At 43.0% G+C, this 11044-nt stretch overlaps 2 annotated features.

The window, feature by feature from the left end:
* Positions 3617–4116: an enhancer, noted in NCBI's record as "H3K4me1 hESC enhancer chr2:105735731-105736230 (GRCh37/hg19 assembly coordinates)". NCBI's record gives its function as "activates a minimal SCP1, AML or CMV promoter by ChIP-STARR-seq in naive H9 embryonic stem cells {active_cell/tissue: H9 hESC(naive)}" and the evidence as "EXISTENCE:reporter gene assay evidence [ECO:0000049][PMID:30033119]".
* Positions 4117–4618: an enhancer, noted in NCBI's record as "H3K4me1 hESC enhancer chr2:105735229-105735730 (GRCh37/hg19 assembly coordinates)". NCBI's record gives its function as "activates a minimal SCP1, AML or CMV promoter by ChIP-STARR-seq in naive H9 embryonic stem cells {active_cell/tissue: H9 hESC(naive)}" and the evidence as "EXISTENCE:reporter gene assay evidence [ECO:0000049][PMID:30033119]".

Here is an 11044-nt window from a genome sequence, read left to right as displayed (position 1 = left end):
TGTGGAGTTCAGAAGTCTTTGACAAAGGTAAACACCTCTATGATCCCACCACTATTAAGACACAGAATTTCCATCATCCTATCAGTTTTCTTGTACCCCTTTTGGGTGAGTTTTGGCACCACAATCTACTTTCATCACCACTGATTCATTTTGTCTTTCTCAGTTTTCGTATCAATTAAATCATACAGTACGTGTTCTTTTGTGTCTGTTATTTTTTCATTGGCATAATGTTTTTGAGATTTATCTACACTTTTGTGCATATTTGTGGTTGAGTCCTTGTTTTTTCTCAGTAGCCCTGCACTGTAACATATATCAAATTTGTTTATTAATTCACCTGTTGATAGACATTTGGGCTGTTTCCAGTTTGGGGTTTGTGAGAATGAAGCTTCTATGAAATTTCCAGTGTTCGTGTGGACATATTATAGTTGTCACAGGTGTGGGATTGCTGGGTCATATGGCAAGTGTGTGGTTAACTTTACAAGACATTAGCACAAGACAACCATGCTCGCTTTGCACAGTCACTGACCTAGACACTCCTGCCACTTCTCCAAGGAGTCAGGATTTCTTTAAAATAAATATGAATCTTTAGAAATTGGGATTGGGGGCTTGGTGTGCTCATTTTTACTGGTACCCATAGGCAGAAAAATGAATTTTGACTTAAACATCGCAACTTATACAACTAAAATCAACTGAAAATGAATCACAGGCTTTTAAAAACGCAAAATGTCAAACTATAAAACTTTTAGAAAAATATAGAACATTTTCTGGACTTAGACTAGGAGTTGGAACTCAGACTTGATTCCAAAAACACAATCCATAAATGAAAAAATAGACCTAATCAAAATGAACAACTTTTGCTCTGCGAGAGATCCTGGCAAGAGGATGAAAAGATGAGCTACAGAGTGGGAGGAAATATTTGCAAATCCCACTTCTGATAAAAGACTAGTATCTGGAATATAGAATTCTCAACACTCAACAACAAAACAAAAACAAAAACAATCCAATTAGAAAATGGGCAAAAGATATGGACAGAGACATAACACATCTTCACTGAAGAGGATACAGATGGCCAACAGGCAAGTGGAAAGATGCTCAACATCACTGACCACTAGGGAAATGCAAATTAAGCCATAATTAGATATCAATATAGACCTGGAAGAATGACTAAAATAAAAAATAGTGATGACACCAAAGGCTAGTGAGGATGCTGTGAAACTGGTCCACTCATACATTGCTGGTGGGAACATAAAATGGCACAGCCAACTGGGGAACAGTTTGGTAGTTTCTTACAAAACTAAACATGCAATTACCACACAATTGTGGTCTTGGGCATTTATTCCAGAGAAATGAAGACCTATGCTCACTCCCAGACAGGTACATGGATGCTCATAGCAGCTTTAGTCATTCCCAAATTGAAATAAAAAATATTTTAAGTTAAAGAAAAAATTTTAAAAAGCCATATTCATCAGTACTTGCAAAAATAACTGCCCCCCCCACTTAACAAAATTAAAAATAAAAGCCTTTTATGAAATTATTTCCTGCTTTGTAGATAATGCGAATCAGTGGATAATCAGGAAAAGTTCTTGTTATGATAAGCAGTTTTCTATTTAATTTATTAATTTTTCAAGAAGATTCTCTCACATCCGAAATGCCTTTTGAGAACAGAAGTAGAGAGAAATTTCTCTGTTTAAATGCAGAGACTCTGCCAGACCCCGGCGGAGAGCAGCACACTTCCTCCTAACAACATTTTAACGCCTCTTATCATTTCGATGAATCGGCAGAAATTAGCACTCGGCTTCATTTCTTGCCTCTCTCATTAGAAAAACCCATAAACCTTATATTCTACTTATGCTAATGTTTTTAAACAAAACCTTTCTATCTTATGTGCATAATATCAAAATATTGTTTGAAATCTTATATTCATTTATCTTGGTTCATTTCAAGCTCAGAGATACGTGAGGACTGAGATAAACCAAAACCTTCTGTGACCCCTAAATTCATCTGCTCTGTGAAACCTAGGCCTCTCTGACTGACAGGTAGGTGCTTTCATCATCACTGCTGCTGGCAGTGCCAAAGATGCTGAGAGAGCGCCCTCAAACAGACCAGCCTATGCATTCCTTCTAGAACTTGGAGGTATTTCTCCTACAACTTAGTGCTGGATTAGAGACTTCTCTACAACTTGCTATGTGCCAGGCACCGTTCTAAGCAGTTTATATATGCTAATTAATTTATTTCTTATAACCACTTCATGAAGTCAATAATACTGTAATTCTCATTTTACAGTTAAGAAAAGTGATGCAAGGGGAGGCAAATAACATGCCCAAGATCACACAAGTAGGTAGCAGAGCCGGGATTCAGGCCAAGCGGTTCAGATCTGGACTCAGGCTGTGCTACCTCCCAGTTGAATGAAAGAGTAAATGGCTGGAGAATGTGTGAATGATTGAGTCAACAAATAAACAAGTTTGTCCATGGCCCTAAGGTGTGGGGAGGATCCCACAAGCCCAGGAACTCCGTGGTGCCTGGGGCCTATCTGGGACCTCTGACCTTGTTCCTGGCCAGGACTCGCTTTTCCATGAATATTATGGTTGCTGAAACGTAGTATCAGGAGCTCAGAGTTGGGAGGTGGGAAACCTGCCTTCTTGTTTTGGCAGCACCAACCAACTTGCTGTGTGTTCTCAGGGGACTCAATGACTTATTTCCCCTTCCCTAAATGAGAGTTCAACAAGAATCATTTCTAACATTCCACAATGCCATATGCTGGCTTGTCCAAGTGAAAGTCTATTGGCAAGGCTAGAAATCAAGTCCAGCTCTGATTTTGAGACTGATTTTGGAGACCATCCTCATCCCCATATAGGAAAGCACGGGGCCTCAGGTCTCTACGTGGTCTCCAGGAACAGGTTTTATATGGGCAGGTTACAGTCTATGCATTGTAGACATGTATATTCACCTCACAACTTGGGAGTCAACTTGTGTTGACTGTTGAGTTTAATGAGTGAAGGGTAGAAGTGAATGCTTAGTTAGATAGCCCTGCGTTCAGAGCTGAAGCAAAGCTCTGCACAAAGTAGGAATTACAGGGAGTGTGAAAATACACTTTCAAAAGTTGAATAATGCCCCAGAGAAAACCTAATTCATTTTACAAAAGAGGAATTTACAGTCAGATAGCTCCATTCATTCTATGAAACCAAGTGTCCTCACAGAAGTGTTCATCATCTGTGTGGGTTTCAGAGATTGGGGACAGGACTCCAGTAATCCTGCTGCAAACATCTCCATAGATCTTCAAATACAAATGGCTTTTCCCTGAAGTCCATCCACTTTGACTCTGCCATTTCTGTTATAAAAGTCTTGCTTCTTATCTCTATGGGTGAATCAAGTTGGAAAGAGAGAGAAGTTAGCTCTTTTTTTCAGTTAACAGGGCATGAAGACGTGTAAATTCTCTGCATTCATCCCGAGCCCCTGGTTCTTCCCATTAGTAGGAACTGAGCTGTGTTGAGGTTGTCTGAGAGCTCGGGCATAGCACAGGACATGCTGCCCACTTCACAAGTGACATGGGGCATTCCCTGGTGAACAGCTCTTCAGTTTCTCTGCTTACTGCTGAATTTACGGTAATGCCTATAATTGTTTCAAATATACACTAGTGCTGGAGAGACAAGGTATGGGGAGGGGGCATCAGATTATCTTGCACTTGCAACGTTTGCCCAATTTTCTCTCAAGTCAGCTTCATCTAAACCAGTCTTCCTGACGAGGAGGCAGCCAGGATGGTCCTGCAAGCACACTCTCGTCAAAAACATTTCCACAGTGAAACACTGTCAGCAGTTGTTAGGGTGAGAAGGAAGTTTAAGTAGATGGACTAGAGGATAATTACTATGATTAGCATTTAGAGAAATTAAAAACTGCCATTTATTCCACAGCCAAGGGACATAATGAAACCAAGGAATATGACCGCCTTGCTATAGCCTTTGTCTTGAGAAGATTCATTTCTTCATTTCCTCATTTGGCAAATGTGAGTTGATGTTTTACTCTCCATCACAGACTGGGCTGAGGCAGAGACGACAACTGAGTCACGTAAGGGAGACGCGCAGTGGATGCCCACGCATTGGGGTGGGCATGTGCGGTGAGTGCGCGTGCTCAGGGCCCTCCTGGGGCTGCATGGAGGCCTCGCTTCCTGAAGGCGGCGCTGTGGATCCAGTCCCACGGACGCGGAGGGCCAGGCCGGGGACCACGGGAGAGCCGGGCAGAGGCAGGGTGTTGGCCAAGGTCACGGCCCCAGAGACCACAATAGCGTTGTGTCGCTGCAGCCAGGAAGAGCAGGCGACAAGGCCTGAAAGGTGAACTGAGACAGATCCCCCAGGGCTCCGCCCATGCCCTGGCCTCTCAGCTGCGTCTGTAGGCAGAGAGGAGACACTGAAGGGTATTTTTTTCAATTGAATTTTTCTTATTGTGGTTTTAAAAATATGTACATATGCACATAAACTATATATGTATGCATATTTAATATATAATACCATACATTATATATACATTTTGTTTTATATATAACATATTTTATTTTGTTATGCAAATATTTTATATACAAAATATTTAATATAAAATATACAATATTTTATATATAATTTAAATTATATATAATTTGTATATTTTATATGTATTAAAAATATATACAATGTATATTTTTATGTTATAAAAACATAAACATATAAATATACATAACATAAATGTATATATATATAAATTTATAAATATGTATAAATACATAACACAAATATATATATGTATATAACATAAAATTTACCCTTTTATCCATTTTAAGCACAAGTTCAGTGGCATTAAGTACATTCACATTGTCACACTACCATCACCACCATCCATCTCCAGAAGTTTTCCATCTTCCTCAACTAAATTCAACCATTGTAATTCAACTAAACGTAACCATTCTACAATAACTCCCTACTCCCCTCTCCCCAGCCTCTGGCAATCACAATTCTACTTTCTGTCTCTATGGACTGTCCACTCTAGGTATTTCCTGTGAGTAGGATCACACAGTATTTGTCTTTCTGTGACTGGCCTGTCTCCCGCAGCACAGCATCCTCCAGGTCTGTCCACGCCGCAGCATGTGTCAGATCTCCTTCCCTTTAAAGGCTGGATGACATTCCATTGTGTGATACACCACGTCTTGCTTATCCACTCATCCCTCGATGCTCATTGGGTTGTTTTCACTTTTGGCTGTTGTGAATAATGCTGCTAAGAACACGGGTACAAATATCTGTTCAAATGGATGGGTTTTGAGCAGGATAGTGGTTGGAAAAACCCTTTAGAAAGAGCTCCCTGCTGGTGCAGAAGATGATGATGATGATGATAATACAACTAATACTGAATGTGTGCTAGGTGCTGCGCAAAGTACTTGACGTGCATCAACTCATTTAATCCTCACAACCGCCGCATCCTCACACCTACTTTTTTGAGGTTGATGTTGTTATTATCTCCATCTTACTTAGGAGCCAGTGGAACCTACCCAGGTTTGCAGACAGCAGAAGACGGAGCCAGGAACTGCATCTGGACAGTCAGCTTGCAGAGCCTCGGCACTCACACTGTACCACATGGCCTCTCCTGGCAGACTGGGAGGGGTGAGATAATGCATGGAGGCTGTTGCTGGGCCATGGGAATAATACAGGCAGGAGCTGACAAGAGCTGTGAACTGAGCTCAGGAAGCAATAAAGAATAGGCATGTGGCCAGAGACTTGAGATTCTTAGGGAGCGAGATGGACAAGCTCCCCGGAGTGACTGTGGGTATGAGGAAGGGGAGGGGTCTAGGATGACAGACAGCTTTTGAACTTGATCACCTAGGTGGAGAGTGGTGCCATTGACTAAGAGAACATGGGTAAATTGGCAGGTGTAGTGGAAGGGGAAAAGAATGATTCTATCCAGTACCTGCTGAATCTGAGATTCCACAGGACATTTGGATACAGGTGCCCAACTCATATGGTATGAATCAAATTCAACAGAAAGATCTTGTTGGAGACACAGATTGAGAAGTCATTAGCATAGGGGAGAGTTGGAATCTTGGAAGTAGATGAGCTTGTCCATGGATCATGTGTGTGGAACTGAAAAGAAGAGGTGGAAATTGAAACCCAGGAATGGGGAGTTGAAAAGCTGGGGCAGTGAGAACACACTAGGGCTTATAAATTTCAGAACTGACATGACAGCAGAGAGTGGGTGAGGCCCCACTGCATTGCCACACGTGCATTAACCTGCACTGTGCTCCCTTCTGGGGGAAAACCAATGGTTAGGGACTGGTTCAACAAAGAGGGGACAGCAGGCATTTGGTGGGAAGCATCAGAAGGGTAGAAGGATATGGAAGCCAAGGTGGGGGAAATATTTCTGGAAGGATGGTATCAAATGCCTCAAAGAGATCAAATTAAATGGGACCAAAACAGTGCCCACTGACTTCTGCAGGCAACATTGCTGGTGACCTTACAAAGGGACATTCTTTGGAAAGGGTAGGAGCAGGGGCCATCTTGCCCCGGACTGAGGCATAAAGGAGAGTGTGGGTGTACATGGAGTATAGACGTCAGGAGAAGTGTGCATCCGGGGACTAGGGGAACAGGCAGTAGTTCCTAAGGCCTGGCCTGCGGGAGGCCAATGGAAGATCTTGAGCTCATTCACAGTTAGAGAGACAAAAACCAGTGCAGAAAGGTGGTCAGGGGGACCAGGCCTGGGAGGTCAGAGGACAAGAGGAGGAGCTCAAGTTTACGAGCATTCCCCTTCAGTAGAGGAGGGCTGCCTCAGACCAGAGAGGAGAGTGGCTGGGCAGGCACTGCACAGGGCCATGGGGAAGCCACAGCCTTTGGAAAATGCAATCTCTCAAAGCTGATCTTGACACAGCGAGGCTGGGACACACACATCGGAAATGGCAAAGTCCTTTTGGGAAGTTATTTGGCAATGGATATAAAGTTAGTTTTGGAAATTTACCCAAAGGGTAAATGAAAGAAAAAGCATCCGTACAATTATGCTCCCGGCACATTATTTACAATATTATTTTTAAAAAGCACATGTGGCTAATGGCATGGAAACGAGTTAAGTAAATTATGGAACATATGCTCAATGGATGGAATATTATGAGGTCATTAAAGTTATAATTACGAAGCTTATAGCTACACAGAAACATGGTTATGATAGTAAATGGAAAATCCGTCCTAAAATTGTATGTATACTCTAATTGCAACTATGTGAAGTATGCTTTCCCATGAAAGTACATTACAAGAGAATCCCTAAACTGATACTAGCTGTTGGCTGGAGATAATGGTAAGATTATGGCTGACATTTTTTTTTTCTTTTTCTATTTGGAAAGCTTGTTTTGAATCCTAATGCTACAGTTCTCATTAAAACAACAAGAAGAAAAAGTAGCCTTATATCTTATTAGCTATTACCCTATTTAAAACAGAACATCACTGGATTTTTTCCTCTCTACCTGATAGTATCGAGGCCTAATAGAATGGATTTTATGTGGTGTGGCCATTCCATTCAAAGCTCCTCACCTCTGATGTTGAGATTGAGTGTCGATGGTAATGGGTGTCTCCTTCCCGCAGTCCAAAGTGTGCTTGGATGCTTCTAATAGAAAAGATGCTCGCTAAACCTTCAACAACATTCCCAGCCCAGGAGCCATGCCGGGATGGGTTGCGAATGGCAGGCAGGGCAGAGACAGCCGTCCTTGCCAGTCCTGTATCCAGCACACGGGTACGTAGCTTTCATTCTACTGGGGCATGTCCCTGGAGGAGCCCACTAGCAGCTTGTCATAGAACCCCTACCTTCCTCGCGCCCAAGTCTTAGGATAGACTGCAGTCCTAAGCCTCAGCCTCTTAATATTTTTCTTCTATTTTGAGTTAAATTATCTCTATTTTTATCTTTTTTGGGTACACTAACATTTAGAGAGTTTATGAATGGTTCAAAACATTGATACAAATAGGCATTTTGAAATGGCAACTCAAAGTCAAATGGTAGCCATTCTATGCTAGGGACAGAGCAACATGGGGTGGAAGAAGTGGATCCCAGCCTCCCATCTGCAAGAATTTCCCTTCATTAGAAGAAGCTGCTGTTGGCTGGGAGCAGTAGCTCATGCCTGTAATTCCAGCGCTTTGGGAGGCCAAGGCAGGTGGATCACTGGAGCTCAGGAGTTCGAGACCAGCCTGGGCAACATGGCGAAACCCCATCTCTACAAAAAATACAAATTAGCTGAAAGTAGTGGTGCATGTCTGTGGTCCCAGCTACTTGGGAGGCTGAGGTTGGAGGATCGCTTGGGAGCAGCAGCCGAGGTTACAGTGAGCTGTGATGGCAGCACTGAACTCCAGTCTGAGTGACAGAATGAGACCCCATCTCAAAGAAAGAAAGAAAGAAAGAAAAAAGCTGCTGCTGCTTTTTTCTAGTACCCTAGCTCTGGCTTCTAGTCTTCTCTAATAATTTACCTCTTTCATTGAAAGGAATCAATGCAATAGGCGAGATAATTATAGGCTCAATGTAAGCATAAGAAAAAATCAGAATTTAGAGATTCATCTGCAAAAGATGGATTAGAAAGGATAATTAATATGCCTGATGTTTTCAAGAGGCATTAAAATGCGCATGAATCACTAGATTAAATCCAGGAGTGGGGCAGGAATTGCATCCTCTTCCTCCTGGTCTCTGTGCGCCTAGTTGCTTATTCGGTTGTAAACTACTCCATCTTGTGGCTAAACTAGGGTACTAACAGAGATCAAGATGCTCTTATTTTCAACCAAAAATCACTGTATTTTCCCCTCTTAAAACTTATGCATAGGTTTTAAGAAATCCAAGCCATTTAAGAATTATGAACAAGCTTTAAAAAATTCCAAGCATATATAAATGAAGAAAGTAAACATTATCCATAATCTCGTTATCTAGACTTATCCACACAGACATATATTTTTAGGCAAATACAGGCACATAACATGCATACTGCTTTATATGAGAACTAGTTACAATTTGCCTTTTTTCACTTCAAATGAATCACTATGTTAACACAATTCAGGAATCAGGGCTGGTCAGTATTTGATAAAATTAACAGGTTGAACTTTTTAGTTGCTATTGTAAATGGAAAAATCAGGAAATCTATAACTTTGGACAGGAGAGTTTTATTTCTTATAAAGGGTTACAGACTATAAGGTGGGCATTCCGATATGCTGGGAGGTGTAGCCTCCAGCCAAAGCCATAAAGGCAGGCACTTGGAGGGAGGGAAGGAGAAGACAGGAATTTCAGCTTAACTGGTATACATATTCAACAGGATATGGGAGGAGCCATGAATATTCATGAAAGGGGGTCTTGCACATGTGTGATAAGCAAACATGCATGTTATATACATCCCAGGGTCTCCTTGGGGTGGAGACGTAACATTTAAATGCATTATAATTAGGCCCTATATGTCAAAAGGTGAAGCAGGGCGTCAACACACCCAAGTGGTCGGCCTCTGTAAACCAGCCAGAACCAGTCCATGGCCTGTGATCTCTTATCAGGAGAAAGTTACAGAAATCAGTCTCTTGTCCAATCAAAGCTGTAGTTATGGCTGGTGGAAAGGGGGTGAGTTAGTCAGTGTCTGGTGGTGGATGAGCTGCAACTAGTTCAACATTGCTTATGTCAAGGCCAATGCTGGTTTAGCTGCTAGAGAGAACAACCTCTGGCAGTTAGAACCTAGTTTATTCTTTAAATGTTGGGTGCATGACTTAACCCTTCCCTGCCATGGCCTTAGGTCTTGTTTATAATTTGGTACCATAATGAGTTTGTTCTGTCAGTCTTATGGTCTCTATTATAACATTAATGCCGGGCAGTTTTGTCTAAACTGCAAAAGGGAGAAGGTATTATATAATGAGACAGACCTCCCATCCCGTTATGGCCCAGAATTTTCTTTAAGGTTTCTCTGGGGCCCCCTTGGCCAAGAGGGAGTCCACTCAGCTTGCTGGGGGCTTAGGGTTTTATTTTTAGTCCTCACTCTACGTATTTTCATAGCAGTTAGGGTAACCACAGTCTCCTTGGGCCTGGGCCTCCTGATCTGTTAAAGCCAATGAGGGGCGGGCGTCAGAGATTGCACACCAGTGGACCCCAAATCCCCCCCGCAGACCTTCTGGCTTCCAAGGTGCCCAGGGTCTTACAATGCTCCCTGCATTTGTTGCCTGCCTGGGGAAGCATATGGCTTACAACAGTGGGATTAAATGATCCCTAAATTCCCCGCCACTTGAGACATTGAGTTGATGCTGTTCCTGTCCTGAGAACATTTAATAAACTAGAGAAGTGGTTCTCAAAGTGGGGTCCCTGGACCAGCAGGATCAGCATCAACTGTGAAGTAGTGAGAAATGCAGATTCTGAGGCCTTCTCTCGGGTGTCCTGAATGACCTGGGGGTGGGACCAGCCACACGTCTTGGGCCCTCCAGGTGATTGTGATGCACACATAACTTCCAGAACCACTGATGCAGAACATCAATGAGATCACCCCTTTCTTATACATGTATCTTTCACCCTCCCACTACTAATTTTCACAATCTTATCTCTACACAGATTAGGCTACTGCGATTCAACTGATCACAATACAATAAATCCAGAGTCGGGCTCCTTTCCTCCAGCTCCACTGCTAGCACCGAGGGCCAAGCCACTGCCATCTGTCACCTGACTCGCAGCAGCCACCGCCCTGGGCTCCCTGCTTCCATTCCCACCCCCTGCAGTCAGCTCCGCTCAGAAGGCTCCCATGGCTTCCCTCTCACCCCAGGAAACACTGCTGCCTTAAATAACGTCAGGGCCTTATAGGCTGCCCTTTGGCCTCTCTGACCTCATCTCCTACTACTCCCCTGTTCTCTCTGCTTGAGATGCATTTGCCTCTTCCTCATCCCACCACAGGGTCTTTGCATTAGCCGAGCTCCCTGCCGAGAGCCCTTGGATCCCATATGTGCACGTTGCTTGCCCTCTCGCTGCCTTCACACCTCTGCTCAAACACCACTGCGGTGTCGAGGCCCCGCGATCACTCTATTTAAGTTGCAACCTCTTCTATCTTGAG

This window comes from Homo sapiens, chromosome 2 (assembly GCF_000001405.40).
Source record: "Homo sapiens chromosome 2, GRCh38.p14 Primary Assembly".
In the NCBI taxonomy this organism is placed as follows: domain Eukaryota; kingdom Metazoa; phylum Chordata; class Mammalia; order Primates; family Hominidae; genus Homo; species Homo sapiens.
This window is presented reverse-complemented; position numbering and strand designations above follow the sequence as displayed.